The sequence below is a fragment of the Homo sapiens genome, chromosome 17 (assembly GCF_000001405.40).
Source record: "Homo sapiens chromosome 17, GRCh38.p14 Primary Assembly".
Classification (NCBI taxonomy): Eukaryota; Metazoa; Chordata; class Mammalia; order Primates; family Hominidae; genus Homo; species Homo sapiens.
Window position 1 is genome coordinate 75,193,703 of NC_000017.11, and position 26,207 is coordinate 75,219,909.

A 26,207-nucleotide genomic window follows, 5' to 3' on the forward strand; every position below is an offset into this window, starting at 1 on the left:
GAGTGCAACAGTGTGATCTCGGCTCACCACAACCTCTGCCTCACCACAACTGTGCATGGCCAAAACTTTTTTTGTAAGGAAAAGAACAAGGAAGATAGCTTACACCTGTAATCCCAAAAGTTTGAGAGGCTGAGGCAGGAGGATTACTTGAGGCCAGGAGTTCAAGACCAGGTTGGAAAAGGAGAGGCATACATGGAAAAAAAAAAAAAGCAGATATTAATTGAGTAATTTTATCTTATTTTTTTTTTTTTTCTTTTTTTTGAGACAGAGTTTCGCTCTTGTTGCCCAGGCTGGAGTGCAATAGCGCGATGTCGGCTCACCACAACCTCTGCCTCCCTGGTTCGAGCGATTCTCCTGCCTCAGCCTCCTGAGTAGCTAGGACTACAGACATGTGCCACCACGCCTGGCTAATTTTGTGTTTTTAGTAGAGATGGGGTTTCTCCATGTTGGTCAGGCTGGGGTCTCGAACTCTCAACCTCAGATGATCCACCTGCCTTAGCCTCCCAAAGTGCTGGGATTACAGGCGTGAGCCACTGTGCGCAGCCCGAGTAATTTTATCTATTTTTTTGAGACAGAGTCTCCCTCTGTTGCCCAGGCTGGAGTGCAGTGGCGTGATCTCTGCTCACTGCAACCTTGCCTCCTGGGTTCAAGCGATTCTCCTGCCTCAGCTTCCTGAGTTGCTGGGATTACAGGCGAGCGCCACCATGTCTGGCTAAATTTTTTTTGTATTTTTAGTAGAGACGGGGTTTCACCGTGTTGGTCAGGCTGGAAATCCTGACCTTGTGCTTTGCCTGCCTCAGCCTCCCAAAGTGCTGGGATTACAGGCGTGAGCCATCGCGCCCGGCCCAAAGCCTCTGTTATAATTATCCCCATTTTACAGATGAAAAAAGTGAGATAAGGCCGGGCGCGGTGGCTCACGCCTGTAATCCCAGCACTTTGGGAGGCCGAGGCGGGTGGATCATGAGGTCAGGAGATCGAGACCATCCTGGCTAACAAGGTGAAACCCCGTCTCTACTAAAAATACAAAAAATTAGCCGGGCGCGGTGGCGGGCGCCTGTAGTCCCAGCTACTCGGGAGGCTGAGGCAGGAGAATGGCGTGAACCCGGGAAGCGGAGCTTGCAGTGAGCCGAGATTGCGCCACTGCAGTCCGCAGTCCGGCCTGGGCGACAGAGCGAGACTCCGTCTCAAAAAAAAAAAAAAAAAAAAAAAAAGTGAGATAGAGAGAGGATGGTTAAATTGGTCACCTCGCTTGAAGTGGCAGAGCCAGTATGGAATTTAGATCTTCTGACTCAGAGCCCAGTGCTTAATTATTGTAGAACCGCTGCTGTGGAAAGCCACGGAGAGAAAACATACCGAAGGAAGGAAAAAAAATTCCTAGAATAGTACCAGGAGCACCAGTCAAGTTGTTGTGACCTAAATTTGTGTGTGTGTGTGTGTGTGTGTGTGTGTGTGTATTTTGTCTCCTCCACTGGAACAGAAGTTGCACAGAAGCAGAGGTCTGTCTGTGTTACCACACTTTTATTTCCAGCAGCAAGCAGTTTCTGGGTCCTACTAGGTAAATAAAAGAATTAATGGGGAGAGAGTTGTGCAGTGAGCAGTTTGTACCATTAACGGTTAACTAGAAACTCTGGTAAGAGGCCCAGTGCGGTGGCTCACGCGTGTAATCCCAGCACTTTGGGAGGCCAAGGTGGTCAGATCATCTGAGGTTGGGGGTTCGAGACCAGCCTGACCAACATGGAGAAACCCCCATCTCTACTAAATATACAAAATTAGCCAGGCATGGTGGCGCATGCCTGTAATCCCAGCTACTCGGGAGGCTGAGGCAGGAGAATCGCTTGAACCCAGGAGGTGGAGGTTGTGGTGAGCCGAGATCGCGCCATTGTACTCCAGCCTGGGCAACAAGAGCAAAACTCCGTCTCAGAAAAAAAAAAAAAAAAAGAGTAAGGGCCAGGCATGGAGGCTCACGCTTGTAATCCCAGCACTTTGCAAGGCTGAGGCAGGCAGATCACTTGAGGTCAGGAGTTCAAGACCAGCCTGGGCAACATGATGAAACCCTGTCTCTACTAAAAATATAAAAATTAGCCTGGCATGTTGGCATATGCCTGTAATCCCAGTTACTTGGGAGGCTGAGGCAGGAAAATCACTTGAACCTGGGAGGCAGAGGATACAGTGAGCGGAGATGGCACCACTGCACTCCAGCCTGGGCAACAGAGTGACACTTTGTCTCAGAAAAAAAAAAAAGGAAAAAGAAATACAGAGTAAGAATAGAATGAACTGTCAGGGTGCAGTGGCTCATGCCTGTAATCCCAGGATTTTGAGAGACCAAGGCAGGAGAATCTCTTGAGCTAAGGAGTTCAAAACGAGCCTGGGCAACATAGCAAAACCCCATTTATGTTACAAAAAAAAAAAAAAATGAGCAGTGAGCCAAGATTGCACCACTTCACTCCAGCCTGGGTGACAGAGTGAAACCCCATCAAACACACACACACACACACACACACACACACACACACACACAAAGGGGGGGGTGAACGAGCCAGAATTCCGCAGGATCAGCTGCCAAAGAAAAATACATCATTCTTGGGGGGAGGGGGGAGGGATAGCATTAGGAGATATACCTAATGCTAAATGACGAGTTCATGGGTGCAGCACACCAACATGGCACATGTATACATATGTAACAAACCTGCACGTTGTGCACATGTACCCTAAAACTTAAAGTATAATAATAATAAAATTAAAAAAAAAATACATCATTCCTAAAAGGGGTAAGAGGGCCGGGCATGGTGACACATGCCTGTAATCCCAGCACTTTGGGAGGCCAAAGCAGGAGAACCACAAGGTCAGGAGTTTGAGATCAGTCTCACCAACACGGTGAAATCCCGTCTCTGTTAAAAATACAAAAACTAGCCGGGTGTGGTGGCCCATGCCTATAATCCCAGCCACTCAGGAGGCTGAGGCAGGAGACTCGCTTGAACCCAGGAGGCGGAGGTTGCAGTGAGCCGAGATCGTGCCATTGCACTCTGGCCTGGGCGACAGAGCGAGACTCCATCTAAAAAAAAAAAAAAAAAAAAAAAACATTAGCCAGGCATGGTGGCACACACCTGTAGTCCCAGCTACTGGAAAGGCTGAGCCAAGAGAACTGCTGGAAGCCAGGAGGTGGAGGTTGCATTGAGCCGAGATCATGCCACTGTACTCCAGCCCGGGTGAGAGAGTGAGACTCTGTCTCAAAGAAAATAAAATAAAAATAAACAAAATAAAATCTAAAAGGGGTAGGAGAACAAGAATCACAGAGTTCGTTTAGAGCTTTAAGTCCCTGCCAGAACCCCTAAACACATACCAAATTTATAATACAGGTGACTAAACTTGTGTACTTTATACCGTCAAATTTCCTTCATTCTATAACATAGTTTAGTTGAGTACTTCAGCTGTTTGTGAATACTGTATGAATGTAAATACTGAATTCTGGCCGGGTGCGGTGGCTCACACCTGTAATCCCAGCACTTTGGGAGGCTGAGACAGGCAGATCACTTGAGGTCAAGAGTTCGAAACCATCCTAGCCAACATGACCAAATGCCATCTCTACTAAAAATATGAAAATTAGCTAGGTGATAGTGACGTGTGCCTGTAATCTCAGTTACTCAGGAGGCTGAGGCAGGAGAATCATTTGAGCCTGGGAGGCAGCGGTTGTGGTGAGCTGAGATCCTGCCACTGCACTCCAGTCTGGGTGACAGAGAGAGACCCTGTCTCAAAAACAAAAAAAATCATGAATTTCTCAATACTGCAGGAAGCCTGGAGGCAGAATGGTGATGATATTGTAGAAACCCTATCGGCTGGGCTTCAGGGCTCACGCCTGTAATCCTCGGGAGGCCGAGGTGGGCAGATCACTTGAAGTCAGGAGTTCGAGATTGGCCTGGCCAACATGGTGAAATCTCGTCTCTACTAAAAACACAAACATTAGCTGGACATGGTGATGTGTGCCTGTAGTCCCAGCTACTCAGGAGGCTGAGGCAGGAGAATTGCTTGAAAATGGGAAGAAGAGGCTGCAGTGAGCTGAGATCCTGCCACTGCACTCCAGCCTGGGCAACAATGCAAGATTCCATCTCAAAAAATAAATAAAGTAATTAAAAAAAAAAAAAAGGAAAGAAACCCTTTCTACCCGTGTCATGGCAAAAATGATGGGACCCAAGATTGTACTCATAGTGAATGCCAAGAACTTAGTACAGGCTGAGTATCTCTAATATGAAAATCTGAAATGGGAAATATTCCAAATTCCAAAACTTCTTGAGTACCAACATGATGCCACAAGTGGAAAATTCCACACTTGATACCTTGGCTTTCTTTCTTTCTTTCTTTTTTGAGACAGAGTTTTGCTCTTGTCGCCTAGGCTAGAGTACAATGCCGCAATCTCACCTCACTGCAACCTCTGCCTCCTGGGTTCAAGAGATTCTCCTGCCTCAGCCTCCTGAGTAGCTGGGATTATAGGCGCCTGCCACCACTCCCGGCTAATTTTTTGTATTTTTAGTAGAGACAGGGTTTCACCATGTTGGTCAGGCTGGTCTTGAACTCCTGACCTCAGATGATCCACCTGCCTCGGCCTCCCAAAGTGCTGGGATTACAGGTGTGAGCCACCACGCCTGGCCTCTTTCTTTCTTTCTTTGAGATGGAGTCTCGCTCTGTCGCCTAGGCTGGGATGCAGTGGCATGATCTCGGCTCACTGCAACCTCCGCCTCCTGGATTCAAATGATCCTCCTGCCTCAGCCTCCCGAGTAGCTGGGACTACAGGCACGTGCCACCATGCCCAGCTAATTTTCGTATTTTTAGTAGAGACGGGGTTTCACCATATTGGCCAGGTTGGACTTGAACTCTTGGCCTCCCAAGGTACTAGGATTATAGGTGTGAGCCACCGTGTCTGGCCTTTTTTTTTTTATAATTAAATTTTATTTTATTTTGTATTGAGACAGTGTCTCGCTCTTTGGCCCAGGCTGGAATGTAGTGACACCAGCATGGCTCACTGCAGCCTCAACCTCCTGGGCTCAAGCGATTCTCCCACCTCAGCCTCCCAAGTAGCTGGGACCACAAGCATGTGCCACCATGCTCGGCTAATTTTTTAATTTTTAAAATTTTTTTTTACTTTTTAAAATTTTTTTTTTGAGACAGTCTCGCTCTGTTGCCCAGGCTGGAGTGCAGTGGTGAGATCTCGGCTCACTGCACGCTCCGCCTCCCAGGTGCATGCCATTCTCCTGCCTCAGCCTCCTGAGTAGCTGGGACTACAGGTGCCTGCCACCACGCCCAGCTAATTTTTTTTTTTTTTTGTATTTTTAGTAGAGACAGAGTTTCACTGTGTTAGCCAGGATGGTCTTGATCTCCTGACCTCGTGATCCACCCGCCTCGGCCTCCCAAAGTGCTGGGATTACAGGCATGAGCCACCGCTCCTGGCCATTTTTTTTTTTTTTTTGAGACGGAGTCTCGCTCTGTCGCCCAGGCTGGAGTGCAGTGGCGCAATCTCGGCTCACTGCAAGCTCCGCCTCCCGAGTTCATGCCATTCTCCTGCCTCAGCCTCCGGAGTAGCTGGGACTACAGGCGCCCACCACCACGCCCGGCTAATTTTTTTTTGTATTTTTAGTAGAGACGGGGTTTCACCATTTTAGCCAGGATGGTCTCGATCTCCTGACCTCGTGATCCGCCCGCCTCGGCCTCCCAAAGTGCTGGGATTACAGGCGTGAGCCACCGTGCCCAGCTCTTTTTTTTTTTTTTTTTCTTAATTTTGTTATTTTTGGTAGAGACAGTCTCACTACGTTGCCTAGACTGGTCTCACGCTCCTGGGCTCAAGCGATCCTCCCACCTCAGTCTCCCAAAGTGCTGGGATTACAGGCATGAGCCACAGCACCCAGTCCACCTTTGCTTTCTTTCTCTTTCCTTCCCTCCCTCCCTCCTTCCTTTCTTGCTTTCTTTTCTGTCTCTCTCTCTCTCTCTTCTTTTTTTGTTCTTTGAAACAGGGTCTCACTTTGTCATCGGAGTGCCAGGATCTCGGCTGACTGCAACCTCTGCCTCTTGAGCTCAAGCGATCACCCCAACCTCAGCCTCCTGGGTAGCTGGAACTATAGCATGTGCTACCACACCTGGATAATTTTGCTGTTTTCTATAGTGATGAGGTCTCATTATATATATACAGTCCTTCTAATACGTCAGTTGGGATATTGAATGCAGGGAAATAGTGTCACATTTCACAATATTATACATTCACTGAATACTGACATACACAATACTTTATATTCACTGCCTATTGATATACATATTGTACAAACATAACTTAAGAGAACAGTCCTGTAAGCTTTTTGTGTGCAGGTATCATTGCCTTTCATCTTTGTAGTCTCAGCAAATAGCAAAGTCCTGAGAGCCAGTAATCAATAAGTGTTCATTGACTTATTGATGCAGCAATAACTTTGTGTAGTACTTTTCTTTTTTTTGAGACAAGAGTCTAGTGACTCTGTCACCCAGGCTAGAGTGCAGTGGCACCATCTTGTCTCACTGCAACCTCCGCCTCCCAGGTTCAAGTGATTCTCCTGCCTCAGCCTCTCTAGTAGCTGAGATTACAGGCACCTGCCACCACATCAAGCTAATTTTTTGTATTTTTAGTAGAGACAGGGTTTTACCATGTAGGCCAGCTGGTCTCAAACTCCTGACCTCGAGTGATCTGCCCGCCTTGGCCTCCCAAAGTTCTGGCATTACAGGTGTGAGCCACCGCACCCAGCCAGTACTTTTTATGAGAAGGCCAAAAATGCTTAAACAGGGTCTCCCAAATGCCTGTCAGTTACACAGCTTCAACACTGATATGACAATTTCAAGTTCTAGGCCGATTAATGCTCAAATCCTACCTCTCTGTACATTAGTGGATTCACATAGGGCACTGAAATGAGGCCCAATGACTTGAAGCTGTTTGTTTCATAAAATGAACAGAAACAATATGAATAAAGCTATATTTTGCAGATTTGTGTGAATATAGATATTATCTGTACTCTTCTATCTTCTCTCAATAATTGATTACATACACTCTATCCAGGAGTATGAGGCTGCAGTGAACTATGATTGAGCCACTGAACTCCATCCTGGGCAGCAGAGCAAGTCTCTGTCTCTAAATAGGCCAGGCAAGGTGGTTCTTGACTGTAACCCTAGCACTTTGGGAGGCCAAGGTTGGAGAATCGATTGAGGGCAGGAGTTAGAGATCACCCTGGGCAACATAATGAGATCTTGTCTCTACAGCATTTTTTGTTGTTGTTGTTGTTTGTTTGTTTGTTTTTTGAGACAGAGTCTCCCTCTGTCGCCTAAGCTGGAGTGCAGTGGCATGACCTCGGCTTATTGCAACCTCCACCTCTCAGGTTCAAGTGATTCTCTTGCCTCAGCCTCCTGAGTAGCTGGGACTATAGGTGTGCGCCACCACGCCTGGCTAATTTTTGTAGTTTTCATAGAGACTGGGTTTCTCCACGTTGGTCAGGCTGGTCTTGAACTCCCGATCTCAGGTGATCTGTCCGCCTCAGCCTCCCAAAGTGCTGGGATTACAGGTGTGAGCCACCGTGCCTGGCATTTTTTTTTTTTTTTGAAATGGAGTCGTGCTCTGCCGCCCAGGCTGGAGTGCAGTGGCATGATCTCAGCTCACTGCAACCTTTGCCTCCCGGGTTCAAGCGATTCTCCTGCCTCAGCCTCCTGAGTAGCTGGGACTACAGGCATGGGTCACCATGCCTGGCTATTTTTTGTATTTTTAGTAGAGACAGGGTTTCACCATATTGGTCACGCTGGTCTTGAACTCCTTACCTCAGGTGATCTGCCAGCCTTGGCTTCCCAAAGTGCTGGGATTACAAGCATGAGCCACCGTGCCCAGCCCCAAATAACCTTTTAATAAGAATTCTGCATAAAAATTATTTGTGAGGCACTTCTTTTATTCATTTAAATCTCCTTTTTGGTGCTTATATAAAACACATCTCTCTTGATTATTTCTTGGAAGTGTAATTATGAGGACAAAAAGATGAACATTTTCAAACTTTTTGAAATAATTTTTCATGTCCTGTCAGTCTTCATAGTTATTTTAAACAGGTGAGTAAAGTAACATCTCACTGATATAATTTATTTAGCTAACTTCTACGGTTGAACATATATACCAGCAGCTCTTAACAGAGGTGATTTTGCCCCCTAGAGGACACTGGGAATATATGCAGATATTTTCAGTTTTCACAATTGTGGGATGTTATTGGCATCTAGTGGGTAAAGGTCAGAAGTTGGAGTTCTTGTTCTTGGTGGGGTGTTGTTTTGTTTTGTTTTGTTTTGTTTTTTTGAGTTGGAGTTTTGCTCTTGTTGCCCAGGCTGGAGTGCAATGACGTGATCTCATCTCACCACAACCTCTGCCTCCTGGGTTCAAGCGATTCTCTTGCCTCAGTCTCCCTAGTAGCTGGGATTACAGGCGGATGCCATGAAGCCCAGCTGATTTTTGTATTTTTAGTAGAGACTGTGTTTCACCATGTTGGTCCAGGCTGGTTTCGAACTCCTGACCTCAGGTGATCTGCCCACCTCAGCCTCCCAAACTACTGGGATTACAGGTGTGAGCCACCGCACCCAGCCTGTTTTTTTGTTTTTGTTTTTTTTTTTTCTTTCTGAGACGGAGTCTCCCTCTGTCACCCAGGCTGGAATGCAATGGCATGGTTTTGGCTCACTGCAACCTCCGCCTCCCGGGTTCAAGTGATTCTCCTGCCTCAGCCTCCGGAGTAGCTGGGATTACGGGTGCCTGCCACCATGCCTAATTTTTGTAGTTTTAGTAGAGACGGGGTTTCACCATATTGGCCAGGCTGGTCTCGAACTGCTGACCTCGTGATCCGCCCACCTCGGCCTCCCAAAGTGCTGGGATAACAGGCGTGAGCCACTGCGCCTGGCCATATTGTTGCTTTTGAAACAGGGTCTTGCTGGAGTATAGTGCTATAACAATCGTAGTTCACTGCAGCCTTGACTTGAACTCCTGGGCTCAAGAAATCCTCTGGCCTCAGTCTCCTTCCTCTTGCTGTAGCTAGGGCTACAGGTATGTGCCACTAGTTCCAGCTAGAGTTTTTTTTTTTTTTTTTTTTTTTTTTTTTTTTTTTTTTTTTGAGAGGGAGTCTTACACTGTCGTCCGGGCTGGAGTGCAGTGGTATGATCTTGGCTCACTGCAACCTCCGCCTCCAGGGTTCAAACGATTCTCCTGCCTCAGCCTCAGTAGCTGGGACTACAGGCGCACAACCGCCATGACCAAATAATTTTTTGTATTTTAGTGGAGACGGGGTTTCATCTTGTTGCCCAGGCTGGTCTTGAACTCCTGAGCTCAGGTAATCCGCCCGCCTCGGCCTCCCGAAGTGTTGGGATTATAGGCGTGAGCCACCGCGCCCGGCCTTTTTTTATTTTTTATTTTTTGAGACAGCATCTTGCTCTTGCCCTGTTGCCCAGGCTGAGGCCAGAGATTTTGTTAAATAATGTACACTGTGCCCGGTTCAGGAGCATTAGTTTTATTAGGCTGCATGAAATGTATCCACTTAAGACTTTACCAGGCTGGGTGCGGTGGCTCATGCCTGTAACCCTAGCACTTTGGGAGTCTGAGGCGGGTGGATCACCTGAGGTCAGGCGTTCGAGTCCAGCCTGACCAATATGGCGAAACCCCGTCTCTACTAAAAAATAAAAAATTAGCCCGGCGTAGTGGCGTGTGCCTGTAGTCCCAGCTGCTCGGGAGGCTTAGGCAGCAGAATCGCTTGAACCCGGGAGACGGAGGTTGCAGTAAGCCGAGATCGTGCCACTCCACTCCAGCCTGGCGACAGAGCAAGACTCTGTCTCAAAAAGACAAAAAAAAAAAAAAAAAAAAAAAGACAAAGAAAAAAAAAAGAGAGAGAGAGCTTGTTAGATCTTAGTGCTATATTTCCTTGATTATTTTTATTTTAAGGCTGACAAAATGCCATTTAAGATAATAAAAGTAGTTAAATTGCCTGACCAAGAGCTAGATAACATTGAGGAAAAAGTATTGGCAATATTCTTTGGTCTAATACTGCTATATACCAACCATTTTACCCAATCATTCAAATAGGCTTAGTAATACAAGGGCGAAAAAGGAAAACTACAGCTAATAGTGCTATCCTTGTTCTTTTTTTTTTTTGAGACGGAGTCTCGCTCTGTCGCCCAGGCTGGAGTGCAGCGGTGCAATCTCGGTTCACTGCAAGCTCCGCCTCCCCGGTTCACGCCATTCTCCTGTCTCAGCCTCCCGAGGAGCTGGGACTACAGGCACCCGCCACCACGCCCGGCTGATTTTTTTTTTTTTTTTTTTTTTTTTTTGTATTTTTAGTAGAGATGGGGTTTCACCGTGTTAGCCAGGATGGTCTCTCTCTCCTGACCTGGTGATCCACCCGCCTCGGCCTCCCAAAGCGCTGAGATTACAGGCGTGAGCCACCGCGCCCGGCCTATCCTTGTTCTATATACTGATTACGCATACTATATATGGACCTTTTCCTTCCTCAACCTTTCTATAGATTTCTAAGAATAAGGTTTTGATGAAGTAGTTTATGTATCCTTCTTTTTCAGTTAATCCTAATGGAAAACGGTTGGAAAAATGAAACAATTATCTTACAACTTATTTTTCTCTTTCCTCTCCTCCCCTCTCTCTAAAAGAGTGTGGCTCCTTCCCCTCTCTTTTCCCCTTCCTCTCTCTAGAGTGGTTAACTCTCAAACTGTATTTAACTCTGGAAAAGTTTTCAATTACACAGGCGATAACTCCAACTTGAGGTATAACGGAAACTTATTAAGAGAAAAAGAGCAAAATAATTTTTTTTTGAGACTCAGCAAAATAATTTTTTTTTTTTTGAGACGGAGTCTCCGTCTGTCGCCCAGGATGGAGTGCAGTGGCGCGATCTTGGCTCACTGCAACCTCCGCCTCCCGGGTTGGAACAATTCTCCTGCCTCAGCCTTACGAGTAGCTGGGATTACAGGTGTCCGCCACCACTCCCGGCTAATTTTTGTATTTTCAGTAGAGACGGGGTTTCGCCATGTTGTCCAGGCTGGTCTTGAACTCCTGACCTCAGGTGATCCAACCACCTCGGCGTCCCGGAGTGCTGGGATTACAGGCGCGCGCTACCAAGCACAGCTAATTTTTTTTTTTTTTTTTGAGACGGAGTCTCGCTCTGTCTCCCAGGCTGGAGTGCAGTGGTGCGATCTTGGCTCAATGCAACCTCCACCTCCCGGGTTGGAACAATTCTCTTGCCTCAGCCTTCCGAGTAGCTGGAATTACAGGTGTCCGCCACCACGCCCGTCTAATTTTTTATATTTTTAGTAGAGACGAGGTTTCATCATATTGGCCAGACTGGTCTTGAACTCCTGAACTCCAGTGATCCACCCACCTTGGGCTGCCAAAGTGTTGGGATTAGAGGCTTGAGCCACAGCGCCGGGCCTTCAGGGGTATCGATTTTGTTCCCGTGCCTCTTGTGTGTGTTCTAGTGTGGAAGTGGAGGCGATTGCTTTCCAGCACAAGCCCGTTTGACTGTCGGGGTTTGGACAAGTGGCTGCGACGACACTAAGGTGGAGACCGGGATGTAGCGAGGACTCCCAGAGTTGGGAGACGTTGTACGCTTACTGGGACCTAAATCCCGCACGAGTTCCCACCCAAGTGCCGCCGCCCCAGCCTACGCACGCGCATTCGCACCGTCTCCAGCCCCGGGGTCCTCCTGCCCCTCCCGCCGTCTCCGGGGGCCTTTTCTCCGCTCGGCACCAGGGTGTCCCCGGCGCCGCCTGATCCTGTTAGCGCGGTACTCTGAGTGCAGTCAGTCCTCGGCGCTGTTTTCCCTGATTTGCTGTCGACGCCAGGAAGGAAGGACGCGTGCAGAGGACCGCAGAGGGGTGGCCGTGGCTGAGAGGAGACAGCGCCGCAGCACTGAGGGTTTGGGCTTGCAGGCGCTGCAGGAGACGCCCAGGCGGAGTCTTGTCTCGCAGCCAGCTCTGAGCGGGAGGCCTGAGCGGGAAGCATTGGCGTCCGAGCGACTTCTAGGAGCCTGGGGTTCGGCGCTATGGAGGAGCTCGATGGCGAGCCAACAGTCACTGTAAGGGTACCCCGAACAGGCTTGCTCGTCCTTGCGGGTTGAGAACTGCGTCTGCTTAGTTACTTCAGGCTTGTCTGCTTCCCTAGTGGTCGCGAGGCGCTCGTCCCCTTCCCTCGACTCAGTTGCCACTTTTCCGGAGGTCGCAGTGTTAACGAGGTGCCCGCCCTAGGGTCGCAGTGGTCGCGGGGTTTCTGCCACCAGTCACAAACCCCGGCCTCGAAGGTCCCACTCCGTCCCTTTCCTTCCTTTGTGTTCCTGGCCTTTTTACTTCCCTTGCTTTTCCTCTTGGGCATTAGAGTGGGTTCAGCCCAAGCAGAGGAATTTATATTTTTATTCCAGCCGTATTAAGCTCTGCATCGCGGCACATTGAGCTTCTGCCTGTGTGGCCTAAGGTTTATTCAACGTATTATCTCAGGAGACTATTCCTGTTTTATCGCTGTGCATTCAATTCCATTTGAACTTTGAAGACAGTATGTCAACTGTGGATGATCTGTGATGTGTATAAAAAAAATTCACGCGCTTTATGTACGAGATACCTACCGTTTCTGCTAGTTGGATTGCTCTTGTTTTCCCTCTTGTTAACCAGAAGTGACTGAGGCAGGTCTCAACCGATAAAGGTTTAATTAGCTAAGGTTGAGGATCCAACCGGGAAAAAGCACAGGTCACAGGAGGATCTGAGACCTGTGCTTTTTCCAAAGATGGTTTTGGGAACATCACTAGTTAAAGAGGAAGGAGCTAGCAGGAGGGGCAAAAAAGGGAGGTTAGGCAGTGAGGAGGCAAATGATTACATTCTTGTGAGTCGGTGATTAGCCTCAGTAAATCTGCATTTTACCTGTGAAAAGAGGGAGCAGAGGAAAATTTTATGTATGCATTCATCTCAGGGTAGGTAGAGGGATTATGGTTATTATTACTGTTATTTTTTAGACGGAGTCTCGCTCTGTCTCCCAGGCTGGAGTGCAGTGGCGCGGTCTCGGCTCACTGTAACCTCCGCCTCCCGGGTTCACACCATTCTCCTGCCTCAGCCTCCTGAGTAGCTGGGACTACAGGTGCCCGCCACCACGCCCGGCTAATTTTTTGTACTTTTTTGTATTTTTAGTAGAGACGGGGTTTCACCGTGTTGGCCAGGATGGTCTCAATCTCCTGACCTCGTGATCCGCCCACCTCGGCCTCCCAAAGTGCTGGGATTACAGGCGTGAGCCACCGCACCCGGCCGATTTCTGGTCTTTTACTTGTGAAGATAAGCTGGTAGTTGACATTGTCAGAATCAACAGATCTTGATTTTAGGACTAGTTTATAGGGGCGATGTGTATCCTGAAAATTTTAGAGGCTCACAAGGAATTTCCTTGTGAGCAATTTGTGAGGGAAGCTCTCTGGGGAGATATGTGGCCTTCTTTTTTTTTTCTCTTGAGGCGGAGTTTCCCTCTTGTCGCCCAGGCTAGAGTGCAGTGGTGCGGTCTCGGCTCTCTGCAACCTCCGCCTCCCAGGTTCAAGCAATTCTCCTGCCTCAGCCTCCTGAGTAGCTGGGATTGCAGGCATGTGCCACCATGCCCGGCTAATTTTGTATTTTTTTAGTAGAGACGAGGTTTCTCCATGTTGGTCAGGCTGGTCTGGAACTCCTGACCTCAGGTGATCTGCCGGCCTCAGTCTCCCAAAGTGCTGGGATTACAAGTGTGAGCCACTGCGCCTGGCCTCATTCTTTTTTTGAGACGGATTCTCACTCTGTCACCCAGAGTGGAGTGCAGTGGCGTGATCTCAGCTCACTGCAACCTCTGGCTCCTGGGTTCAAGCGATTCTTCTGCCTCAGTCTCCTGAGTAGCTGAGATTACAGGTGCGTGCCACCACACCCAGCTAATTTTTGTATTTTTGGTAGAGATGGGGTTTCACCATCTTGGTCAGGCTGGTCTCCAAAGCCTGACCTCGTGATCAGCCTGCCTCGGCCTCCCAAAGTGCTGGGATTACAGGCATGAGCCACCGCGCTTGGCTAGGAGTTCGAGATCAACCTGGCCAACATGGTGAAACCCCATCTCTACTAAAAAAATACAAAAATTAGCCTGGTTTGGTGGCGCGTGCCTGTAATCCCACCTACTCAAGAAGCTGAGGCAGGAGAATCACTTGAACCCAGCAGGCAGAGGTTGCAGTGAGTCGAGATTGCGTCACTGCAGTCCAGCCTGGGCAACAAGAGTTCGAACTCCTGACCTCAGATGATCTGCCCGCCTTAGCCTCCCAAAGTGCTGGCAGGAGCCACCCCGCTGCCGGCCCAAAATGAATTTTTCTTACCAGTGTTATAAGGAAATGTTATTGAAGGATACAGTGTTATTAGAGGACCAGCTGTGCTCTTCACTTAAAGTGTTTTTCAGCAGGGCGGGCACGGTGGCTCGCGCCTGTAGTCCTAGCACTTTGGGAGGCTGAGGCGGACGGATCACCTGAACTCAGGAGTTTGTGACCAGCCTGGGCAATATGGTGAAACTCTATCTCTACTAAAAATGAAAAAAAAAAAAAAAATAGCCGGGTGTGGTTGCACACACCTGTAGTCCCAGCTACTCAGGAGGTTGAGGCAGGAGAAGCCTTTGAACCCAGGAGGCGGCGATTGGAGCAAGCTGAGATTACACCACTGTACACCAGCCTGTTAGAGTGAGTCTTTGTCTCAAAAAAAAAAAAAAAAAAAAAAGAATGGAACAACTTCAGTAAGAAGAACATTTTTCATTTTAGATTTCTATGCCTTATTTTACTAGTTGATTCCAGGCGTGAATTCCAAGAAGAACCAAATGTATTTTGACTGGGGTCCAGGGGAGATGCTGGTATGTGAAACCTCCTTCAACAAAAAAGGTAGGGTTTTTTTTCTTCCAAATTATCCATCTTGGCACATTTGGTTGTTTTTCTGTTTATTACCTCAGATTTTACTAGTTGTGGACTGAAACAGTTGAATTTATTTTGTACTATTTTAATTTTCTCTATTTTGTTTTCAAGATACAACAGGGTTTTGTTGTGTCACCTGGGCTGGAGTACAGTGTGATCATGGCTCACTGCAGCCTCTACCTCTTGGGCTCAAGTGATCCTCTGCCTCAGTCTTCCTAGTAGCTGAGACTACAGGTCACCATGCCACCACGCCCAGCTAATTTTTTTTTCTTTGTAGAGATGGGAGTCTCATTTTGTTGCCTAGGCTGGTCTCGCACTCCTGGCCTCAAGCGATCCTGTTGCATTTTGGCATTTTTATTTTTGAAATGTTAGCTATTTTAGATTTTCATTGATTTTTGAGATCTTGAAGATGTTGAATCCCGGAAAAAAATTAATAGTTTTCATGAAAAATTTTCTTCATATTTAAAATGTCAAGCTTTTTATCCCTTTTTCTTTGTCCAAAGTGACCAAATTCCTATCAGTAGCTCCCTTATTGTGAACCTTGCAGATGCTTGGCCGTCACTTTTGTGTCCACAGCATGGATTCAGCTGAATAATAGTTCTGTAGGCTGAGCTGAGCCGTAGCATCCAAGGCACAGATGGAGCTGGAGAGTGACATAGCTTGTCCTTGGCTTGATTTTCCTGAGTTCCATCAGCTATTGGATAGGATGTGAATCTTTTTCTTTTCCTGATACAGTGATACAGTCTCCTTCCAGTAGAAGGATAAAACTGGAATCTTGACATTTGATTTGCTTTCTTTTTTTTTTTTTTTTTTTGAGACGGAGTCTCGCTCTGTCCAGGCTGGAATGCAGTGGTGTGATCTCGGCTCACTGCCACCTCCGCCTCCCGGTTTGAAGCAATTCTCCTGCCTCAGTCTCCTGAGTAGCTGGGAATGAAGGCATGTGCCACCACGCCCAGCTAATTTTTGTATTTTTAGTAGAGACAGGGTTTTGCTATGTTGGCCAGCCTGGTCTCGAATTCCTGACCTCGTGATCTGCCTGCCTTGGCCTCCCAAAGTGCTGGGATTATAGGCAAGAGCCACCATGCCCGGCCACAGAAAATTTTTTTAGAGTAGATTCACTTTTGGAGATGATCATAATAGATGTTAAATTTTTTTTTTCTGTTTGGTTTCAGAAAAATCAGAGATGGTGCCAAGTTGCCCCTTTATCTATATCATCCGTAAGGATGTAGATGTTTACTCTCAAATCTTGAGAAAACTCTTCAATGAATCCCATGGAATCTTTCTGGGCCTCCAGAGAATTGACGAAGAGTTGACTGGAAAATCCAGAAAATCTCAGTAAGTTGGTTGCTGTTTGGTGTTGAAGCCCACACTACACTGTGGAAAGCCAAATGAAGTACATTGTTGTCTTTTTGTGTGTTTTATGGGTTGCGTAAAGAAATAAGAGACTCCTGGTTCTAGTTGAGGCATGAGTACTGGACAGTGTACATTAGCAGTGATGGGAAGACTTAGCGGGAATATGCAAATGCTATTGATGGGCTGGCTTGACAAGCTTTATTTATATTCATATTTTACTTAGCCTCTAAAGAAGAAAATTTAGGCCACACAAGCATGTGAGAGTCGTTGAATGAGGTCACATTGTTGGGAGATTTGAAAATTAATATAAACCTAACAGTTTTGTCTCTAAAAAATTATGGTTCAGACGTTATTTGACAACAGACCAGAAAACTCTCGTACTATTTATAGATTAGGATTTTCTTGAATTGTAGTTCATAACTTCATCATTATCAGAGTGGTACTTGTTAATTGTAGACTTTTGGGACCCACCTCAGATCATCAAAATCAAAATCTCCGTGGTTGGATCTTAAAATCTCCAGCACACTGAAGTTTAAGAACTCCTGTGTTAGATTTTTGTCAGCGTCCCTTCACATGGATGGCTAGGGAATGGGCAGTGTTGGTATGTTACTTCTTTGATAAGCTTTTCACAAATGAATCATTCTGGACAAGACTCAGGTCAGCTTCTGTGTGAGTGTGTGCAAGAGTGATTATTGGTTGTTTTTCTGTTTTTTTTCGAGGCAGAGTTTCGCTCTGTCACCCAGGCTGGAGTGCAGTGACGCGTTCTCCGCTCACTGTAAGCTCTGCCTCCTGGATTCACGCCATTCTCCTGCCTCAGCCTCCCGAGTAGCTGGGACTACAGGCGCCTGCCACCACATCCGGCTAATTTTTTGTATTTTTAGTAGAGACGGGGTTTCACCGTGTTAGCCAGGATGGTCTCGATCTCGTGACCTCGTGATCCACCTGCTTCGGCCTCCCAAAGTGCTGGGATTACAGACGTGAGCCACTGTGCCTGGCCCTGTTTTTTTTTTTTTTTTTGAGACAGAGTTTCACTCTGTCACCCAGGCTGGAGTGCAGTGGCGCAATCTTGGCCCACTGCAGCCTCTGCCTCCTGGGTTGAAGCCATTCTCCTGCCTCAGCCTCCTGAGTAGCTGGGATTACAGGTGCGTGCCACCACGCCTGGCTAATTTTTGCATTTTTAGTAGAGATGGGGTTTCATCATTTTGGCTGGGCTGGTCTTGAACTCCTGACCTCAAGTGATCTGCCCACCTCAGCGTCCCAAAGTGCTGGGATTATAGGAGTGAGCCACTGCACCTGGCCTGATTATTGGATTTAAGGGACTCTAGTGGAGAATATTGGTGAGTTTGAGAAATCTATTGTCACTTCTAGGAAAAAAACATGTCAAAAGTCCTGTAATTCCTTGCTGGCAGGGGACCCTGTCTTATTCTTTTTTTTTTTTTTTCAGATGGAGTCTCACTCTGTCGCCCAGGCTGGAGTGCAATGGCATGATCTTGGCTCACTGCAACCTCCGCCTGCCGGGTTCAAGAGATTCTCCTGCCTCAGCCTCCTGAGTAGCTGGGATTTTTGTATTTTTAGTAGAGACAGGGTTTCACCAGGTTGGCCAGGCTGGTCTCAAACACCTGACCTCAGGTGATCTGCCCACTTTCACCTCCCAAAGTGCTGGGATTACACGCCTGAGCCACCGGGCCTGGCCAGTAAATACATTTATGTATCTTTTTTATTTTTTTGAGACAAGGTCTGACCAGTAGATTTCATCTGCAACAATTAATGGCAGTATGGGTTTGTGGATATTAACTTTAGCCCATGGGTTGTTTTGTGGCGTTTTATTTTGTTGTCCAAGTTGTTCCAGCTTCAGAAGGTTAGGAGCTCCTTCACAACGGCTCTCCTCTTTCTTTCAGCAAATTTCTGCATTTATTTGAGTGTTTCCTTCCTTTGTGGCACTACAAGATGTTCCAGGCTCATCTTGTGTGTTATTTCATTTTTTGTAGATTGGTTCGAGTGAGTAAAAACTACCGATCAGTCATCAGAGCATGTATGGAGGAAATGCACCAGGTTGCAAGTAAGGACTGTGTGCGCGTGCGCGCGTGTGTGTGTGTGTGTGTGTGTGGGTATTTTGAGTATTTATCTATGCATAAATACTGTGAGGTAAAGTTTGATTGATATTCCAGTCCAAAACTTATTTTTCCATCTTTCATAATCCTTACTTTTTTGGTAATCATTTAGAGGTTTTTTTTTTTGTTGTTGTTTTTTTTTTTTTTTTTTTTTTTTTTTTTTTTTTTTTTTGAGACCGAGTGTTGCTCTGTCGCCCAGGCTGAGGTGCTGTGGCATGAACTCAGGTCACTGCAACCTCCACCTCCCAGGTTCAAACGATTCTCTAGCCTCAGCCTCCTGAGTAGCTGGGACTACAGTTGTACACCACCAAGCCCAGAGTTCTGGGATTACAGGAGTCAGCCACTGTGCCTGGAGTTTTTTTTTTTTTTTTTTTTTTTTTTTGAGACAAGGTTGCCCAGGCTGGAGTGCAAAGAAACATTATGGCTCACTGCAGTCATGAGCTCACCGCCTGGGCTCAAGTGATCTTCCTACCTCATCCTTCCAAGTAGTTGGGACTGCAGGTGTGTACTACCATGCCCAGCTAATTTAAACAGTTTTTGTCCAGTTTTCCTCAGAGAACTTTGTTCTGATAATTTTTAAATTATTTGTAGAAACGGGGTCTCCCTAATTTTTCCAGGCTGTTCTTGAACTCCTGGGCTCAAGCAGTCCTTTGACATCAGCCTCCCAAAGTGTCGGGATTACAGGTGTGAGCCACTGTGCTTGGCATGTCAGAGACCTTTATGGTAGCTGTGTTGCAGTTGAAAGTGCCATTTTGTAACTTGAGGGCTTTTGGTTTGAGAATTGAAGGGATATGAAGCATTAACAGCAACAAAAAAATCCATAATTAAAAGAGATTATAATGTCTTTTAATTTTTCTCATTAAAATAAACAGAGGCTCAAGCCATAGACCCTGGAATATTCAGCTATGACAATAAGCCTAAGAGTTCCATTGCTCACTTAAAATGTTTTGTGTTTTGTTAGTTGCTGCTAAAGATCCAGCCAATGGCCGCCAGTTCAGCAGCCAGGTAAGGGGAGTCACCTTTATTGTTTTAGCACCACTGTGTCCTGTGTCCTGGGCACCCACCTGGGGTGGCTTTGCAGTTCCTGTTATGGCAGAAGTCTCTTCTTTTCAGGTAGATAGGCAGCTCCTTTGGGTGACAGTGATTGTCTTGCCCCCTTCAAGGTGTAGCTCACAAGGAAGTGCTTGTTAAATACTTGAGTGAATGTTCGGTTCCTTTTTTTTTTTTTTGAGATGGAGTCTTGCTCTGTCACCCAGGCTGGAGTGCCCTGGGTTCAAGCATTTCTCCTGTCTCAGCCTCCCGAGTAGCTGGGATTATAGGTGCATGCCACACCAAGCCCAGCTACTTTTTGCATTTTTAGTAGAGATGGGGTTTCACCATGTTGGCCAGGCTGGTCTTGAACTTTTGACCTCAAGTGATCCACCCGCCTCGACCTCCCAAAGTGGTGGGATTACAGGTGTAAGCCACCGTGCTGGCCCTGAATGTTCCGTTCTTATGGAACATATATGTCCTGACCAAATTGTGTTGAGGGGTTGTCACCTGAAATGGAGAAGTAATCTTGTGAGATCACTGCTCGGTCTCATAAACACTCCTCACTTCTTGAACTCAACATTTTTTTTTTGAAAGACAGGGTCTCTCTGTGTTGTCAAAGCTGGTCTCGAACTCTTGGGCTCAAGTGATCCTCCTGCCTTGGCCTCCCAAAGTGCTGGGATTATAGGTGTGAGCTGCCACACCTGGCAAAACTCAAGTTTTTTTTTTTTTTTTTTTTTTTTTTTGAGACGGAGTCTCTCTCTGTCGCCCAGGCTGGAATGCAGTGGCGCGATCTCGGCTCACTGCAAGCTCCGCCTCCCAGGTTCATGCCATTCTCCTGCCTCAGCCTCCCGAGTAGCTGGGCTAATTTTTTGTATTTTTAGTAGAGAGGGGGTTTCACCGTGTTAGCCAGGATGCTCTCGATCTCCTGACCTCGTGATCTGCCTGCCTCAGCCTCCCAAAGTGCTGGGATTACAAGTGTGAGCCACTGCGCCCGGCTAAACTCAACATTTTTACTGAGTTGCAAGTGGCTCTACTTTACTTGGAGCTGGAAGATGACTTACAGTATCTTTTTCCTCAGTAGATGCTTCATATTAGATACTTTTCAAAGTCAGTAGTGACTAGGTAGTAATTCACTGTCTCTGAAGTACCCTTATGAACAAGTCATCATGGTGTCTGTGGACTGAAGGATGGTGAGGAAGGGAAGCCTGCGTATTCCTAAGGGCAAGGTCCAGGTCTGATTTATTTCGGGGTCTTATATTGGGCTTTCCCGTTAATAGACTGTTCCCCTAAACTTCAGTCCTTTGAATACCAGCTTCACAATTCTTGCTCTGTCTACGTGTTTCATGTCATCTACTGAATATTCTTCTAAATATTGTCTCTTCTTTTTACTCAAATGAAGCACCTTGCTAAAGCATCAGTTCATCAAGATAGGCTGGGCGCAGTGGCTCACGCCTGTAATCCCAGCACTTTGAGAGGCCGAGGTGGGTGGATCTCTTGAGGTTAGGAGTTCGAAACTAGCCTGGCCAACACGGAAACTCCATCTCTACTAAAAATACAATATTTAGCTAGGCGTGGTGGTGTGCGCCTGTAATCCCAGCCACTTGGGAGGCTGAGGCAGGAGAATTGCTTGAACCCTGGAGGCAGAGGTTGCAGTGAGCCGAGATCATGCCACTGCACTCCAGCCTGACTGACAGAGTGAGACTCTGTCTCAAAAAAAAAAACAAAAAACAAAAACTGAGTGTTGGCAGGGCACGGTGGCTCAAGCCTGTAATCCCAGCACTTTGGGAGGCCGAGGCAGGTGTATCACGAGGTCAGGAGATCGAGACCTTCCTGGCTAACAAGGTGAAACCTCGTCTCTACTAAAAATACAAAAAATTAGCTGGGCATGGTGGCAGGCGCCTGTAATCCCAGCTACTGGGGAGGCTGAGGCAGGAGAATCACTTGAACCCGGGAGGCGGAAGTTGCAGTGAGCCAAGATTATGCCACTGCACTCTAGCTTGGGCAGCAAGAGCCAAACTCCATCTCAAAAGATAAATAAATAATAACTGGTGACATGCAAGTTATATTTTTTCTTTTTTTAAATTTTGAGACAAGGTCTCGCTCTTGCCCAGGCTGGAATAGTGGCACGATTATGGCTCACTCAGACTCAACTTCCTGGGCTCAAGTGATGCTCCCACCTCAGCCTCCTGAGTAGCTGAGACTGCGGGGATATGTCACTACACTTGGCCAATTTTTATATTTTTTGTTGAGACAGGATCTTGCCATGTTGCTCAAGCTGGTCTCAAACTCCTAGACTCAAGCATTCCACCTGCCTTGGCCTCCCAAAGTGCTGGGATTACAGGAATGAGCCACTGCACCTGGCCAAGTTATTTTTGTAATGCACAGTAAAATAAAATCACAACCACTAAAACAAAATAGTGTTGGTCTCCATCCCACCACCTAACATCCTCACGCTGGCTCCCCTGTGGGAAATCCTCCAGTAGGATTGCAGTAACCTTTGGGTTAAGGAATGACTGTCATATGAGTCAAAGTCTGCTTTATCCCTTGGCTCTGAGAGCAAAGCTCAGGAATCATTTCAGGTGAAACCTGTCCCCATTTCTTCCTTAGGTCTCCATTTTGTCAGCAATGGAGCTCATCTGGAACCTGTGTGAGATTCTTTTTATTGAAGTGGCCCCAGGTAGGCATGGAATATCTCACCATAATCTCATAGGTGTCCCCTTCCATCTTCTGCTCTTTCCTCATCTTTCCTGTGCATGGTGATGAGTGTTTTATTCCTGAGAATGTTCTTTCCATCATTATAACCACGGGAAGTCGTTAGAAAACACCCAAAGAAACCTGACCGTTTTGTCAGGTGCTGCAAAAAGAATCATGCAGAGTGCCTCCAAGAAACCTAAACCCTGACAAGTACTGAGAAATATTAAACTAGTGTGTGAAAGGGGGTGTCAGTGTTAACATCATGGACTGGCCAAGCTTAAGAAAGTTTTATGAATGTGGGGTAGGATTAGGTGGTGAGAGGCAAAGTCACATTGGGAATTCTGTCATGAATCATTGGGACAGGGCAACTCTGTGTGTTAACTCTGCCAATGGGTATGAACTCTGCCAATGGGAATTTTTCTGTTGATCTTTTTTTTTTTTTGAGACAGAGTTTCACTCTTGTTGCCCAGGCTGGAGTGCAATGGCGTGATCTCAGCTCACCGCAACCTCCACCTCCTGGGTTCAAGCGATTCTCCTGCCTCAACCTCCTGAGTAGCTGGGATTACAGACATGCGCTGCCACGCCTGGCTAATTTTGTATTTTTAGTGGAGATGAGGTTTCTCCATGTTGGTCAGGCTGGTCTCGAACTCCCAACCTCAGGTAATCTGCCTGCCTCGGTCTCCCAAAGTGCAGGGATTCCAGGTGTGAGCCACCGTGCCCAGCCTTCTGTTGATCTTGAATTAAACTGTGGTCAGTATAGTGTCATGGCCTGTATGAGCTCTCTGTGGATCTGCTGCAGCTTTTTTGCATTTCTTTTAAGGATTTATGTTTGCTATTTTCCATAAATGAGTAGTAACCTCTGTGTAGCCCTAGCATTTTATTCATACTCTCACTAAAGAAGTGAGGAACTTGAAATTAGAGTTGGTTGTTCAGAGGCCTCCCTTCTCCAGTGGATTTTTGAGGAGGTTACAGTTGGCTCTTTGTATCTGCAGGTTCTACATCATGGATACGGAGTGCTGGCTGTACTCTGCCATTTTATTTCATTTTATTTTTATTGATTGATTGAGACAAGTTCTCACTCTGTCACTTAGGCTGGAGTGTGGTGGTACAATCACAGCTATTGCAGTCTGGACCTCCCAGGCTCAAGCGATCCTCCTGTCTCAGCCTCCTGAGTAGCTGGGACTACAGGCACGTGCCACCATGCTAGGCTAATTTTTTGTGTGTATATGCTGGGGGAGGGGAGACAGGGTCTTGCTCTGTCACCCATGCTGGAGTACAGTGGCGTGATCACAGCTCAGAAGCCTCGACTTCCTGGGCTCAAGCAATCCTCCTGCCCAGCCTCCCAAGTAGCTGGGACCACAGGCCTGCACCACCACGCCCGGCTAATTTTTGTATTTTTTGTGGAGAGGAAATTTCGCTATGTTGCCCGGGCTGTTCTTGAACTCTTGGGCTCAAGCAGTCTGCCCATCTTGGCCTCGCAAAATGCTGGGATTATAGGCGTGAGCCACCATTCCTGGCTCGGCTAATTTTTTATTTTTTTTTGTAGAGATGGGGTCTCCCTATGTTGCCCAGCCTAGTGTCAAACTCCTGGGCTCAAGCGATCTGCCTGCCTCAGCCTCCCAAAGTGCTGGGATTACAGACATGAACTACCATGCCCGGCCATATGTTTTGTTTTGTTTTGTTTTTTGAGACAGAGTCTCACTCCGTCACCCAGGCTGGAGTGCAGTTGTGCGATCTTGGCTCACTGCAACCTCTGCCTCCTGGGTTCAAGCAATTCTGCCTTAGCCACCTGAGTAGCTGGAATTACAGGCATGCGCCACCACGCCCGGCTAATTTTTGTATTTTTAGTAGAGACAGGGTTTCACCATGTTGTCCAGGCTGGTCTTGAACTCCTGAGCTTAGATGATCCACCTGCCTTAGCCTCCGAAAGTGCTGGGATTCCAGGTGTGCACCACCAGCCCCCTGGCCCTATGTTTTTATCATCATTGCATACCTGGCTGCTTGCTATCTAGTCATTGTTGGTTCCTAAACGGCCATTACTTATGTAGCTATTAAGTATTTGTGAAGAATCTGGAGTGTGGGGTAGTGAGGTCTGCATTCCATGTTCACCCCTTTCTGGGGTCAGTTAAAGATGGAGCTGCCTGGCACAGAAGTAATATTTGGTGAAAGTGCATTTGCTTTTTCCTAGCACAGTCTGTCATTCAGGACCATGTGTGTGACTGCTTAAAAGGGATAAACCTATGTAGTCAGCTTGTCTGCCTTAAAGTTCTCTGTTCCTTGGATAAAGGAACTTGCTGCAGATGAAGCTGAGGCTTTTGTGTGTGATGAGAGTCTCTCCTCCCAGCTGGCCCTCTCCTCCTCCATCTCCTTGACTGGGTCCGGCTCCATGTGTGCGAGGTGGACAGTTTGTCGGCAGATGTTCTGGGCAGTGAGAATCCAAGCAAACATGACAGCTTCTGGAACTTGGTAAGACAGGCCGGGCCCCCACCTCCCACCATGTGTCCTACTGTCCCTGGTGCTGCCGGGTGGGTCTGAGGACACCCACTGAGCCTCCAGCAGTAGGCTGGCTTTTGGAGTCTGTTACTATGGAGACTCTTTTGGATCTTTTCTTCCCTGCTCTATGGGAGAGTCTAAAACCGAGGTACCATGTAAGAAAAATAATGCTTTGAAGACTTTTCCAGGGTAAAAGGAAATTTGATTTCTTTGTGGATCTAAGGAAGAGAAGACACAAAAAGGAATACAAAACCGTTTTTTTTTTTTTTTTTTTGAGACAGGGTCTCGGCTGGGTGCGGTGGCTCATGCCTGTAATTCCAGCCAGCACTTTGGGAGGCCAAGTCAGGAATCTCTTGAGCCCAGGAGTTTGAGATTAGCCTGGGCAACAAAGTGAGACCCTCCATCTCAAAACAAATTAATAAATAAAAATATAAAAGAGAAAAGATAGTCCGACTCTGTTCCCCAGGCTGTTGTGCAGTGGCCTGATCTTGCTCACTGCAACCTCCGCCTCCTGTGCGGTCCTACCACCTCAGCCTCTCAAGTAGCTGGGACCACAAGTGCCAACCACCATGCCTGGGTAATGATATAAAACCAATTGACAGGGGCTGGGGTGCATACAGGGTTGGATGTAAATGAGCTTGCACATTACTTTGGATCATCAGTTTCGAAGTCAGCATGTCGTATATGTGTATATGGATGTATTTTCTATGTGTTAGGTATTTCCATTCACCTCTGCTGACTGACCCAATTGGGAGGTGGCAGGGAGGAGATCGCTAGTTGACTGGGCTAATGGAAAGTCAACTAAACTTATAAAGCCTGAAATTGGGAACAGATTGTGAGGACAAAAAAAAAGAAAAGAAAAGAAAACCTGGAATTCGGCCCGGCACGGTGGCTCACAGGAAGTAGTGGGCCAAATGTTTGAGTCTCTGATTGATTCGCTAAGGTTTGTTGTTGTCGTTTAGAGACAGGGTTTCGCTTTGCGGCCTGGGCGGGAGTGCAGTGATGCGATCATGGCACAATGCACCTTTGATTTCCTGGGCTCAAGCAATCCTCCCACCTCAGCCTCCTGAGTGGCTGGGACTACAGGCGCACACCACTACGCCTGGCTAGTTTTATTTTTTGTAGAGGTGAGGTTTCACTGTATTACCCAGGCTGGTCTTGAACTCCTGGGCTCAAGCAATCCTTCCACCTTGGCCTCCCAAAGTGTTGGAACTGCAAGTGTGAGCCACCATTCCTGGTCATTCACTGAGTATTTATTGAGTCCCTACTATTTGCAAGGCACCAAGGAGACACCATGACTAAAACAGGCAAAGATTCCTGCCTTTATGGAGTTTATATCCTGTGTGTGGAGAAAGAACAGCAACACATAGGCTAGTACCATGTATCCTGGCACATAGTGAAATGCTCTGCCAAGGTGCCAAGAAGGGAGGGAGGCTGCAAGTGCTGGAGGGGCATCGAAGAAGGCCTCCCTCATGAGAGATTGGAGGTGAGACCTGAAGGAGGTGAGGAGAGCTAGGCTGAAGAAAGCATTCCAGATAGCAGGGCCTGTAGATGCTGTGTTCTAGAGCCAGGGTGG

The 26,207-nt window shown here is 47.1% G+C and overlaps 1 protein-coding gene across 11 annotated transcripts in view, besides 4 other annotated features; it reads left to right on the forward strand.

Moving 5' to 3' along the window:
• Positions 10,782 to 11,716: an enhancer, noted in NCBI's record as "H3K27ac hESC enhancer chr17:73200579-73201513 (GRCh37/hg19 assembly coordinates)". NCBI's record gives its function as "activates a minimal SCP1, AML or CMV promoter by ChIP-STARR-seq in primed H9 embryonic stem cells {active_cell/tissue: H9 hESC(primed)}" and the evidence as "EXISTENCE:reporter gene assay evidence [ECO:0000049][PMID:30033119]".
• Positions 11,717 to 12,650: an enhancer, noted in NCBI's record as "H3K27ac hESC enhancer chr17:73201514-73202447 (GRCh37/hg19 assembly coordinates)". NCBI's record gives its function as "activates a minimal SCP1, AML or CMV promoter by ChIP-STARR-seq in naive and primed H9 embryonic stem cells {active_cell/tissue: H9 hESC(naive and primed)}" and the evidence as "EXISTENCE:reporter gene assay evidence [ECO:0000049][PMID:30033119]".
• Positions 11,809 to 11,988: an enhancer, noted in NCBI's record as "active region_12737". NCBI's record gives its function as "activates an Ori minimal core promoter by ATAC-STARR-seq in GM12878 lymphoblastoid cells {active_cell/tissue: GM12878}" and the evidence as "EXISTENCE:reporter gene assay evidence [ECO:0000049][PMID:35858748]".
• The window catches only part of NUP85 (nucleoporin 85), a 30,080-nt gene continuing 15,849 nt past the window's right edge, over positions 11,977 to 26,207 (forward strand). For 9 of the 11 annotated variants that reach the window (XR_007065462.1, XR_007065461.1, XR_002958072.2 and 6 more), the window contains exons 1-7: positions 11,977 to 12,092; positions 14,825 to 14,918; positions 16,121 to 16,283; positions 18,290 to 18,360; positions 19,374 to 19,417; positions 22,052 to 22,121; positions 24,483 to 24,604. Coding sequence is in view for 7 of the 11 variants with exons in the window: in NM_024844.5 (NP_079120.1) it covers positions 12,060 to 12,092; positions 14,825 to 14,918; positions 16,121 to 16,283; positions 18,290 to 18,360; positions 19,374 to 19,417; positions 22,052 to 22,121; positions 24,483 to 24,604 (597 nt within the window). In the remaining 4 variants the exon portion in view is untranslated. Of the gene's footprint in view, positions 12,093 to 14,824; positions 14,919 to 16,120; positions 16,284 to 18,289; positions 18,361 to 19,373; positions 19,418 to 22,051; positions 22,122 to 24,482; positions 24,605 to 26,207 lie in introns of those variants that run through there. The other 2 variants (NM_001303276.2, XM_047436777.1) reach the window with 2 other exon arrangements.
• Positions 14,076 to 14,643: an enhancer, noted in NCBI's record as "H3K4me1 hESC enhancer chr17:73203873-73204440 (GRCh37/hg19 assembly coordinates)". NCBI's record gives its function as "activates a minimal SCP1, AML or CMV promoter by ChIP-STARR-seq in primed H9 embryonic stem cells {active_cell/tissue: H9 hESC(primed)}" and the evidence as "EXISTENCE:reporter gene assay evidence [ECO:0000049][PMID:30033119]".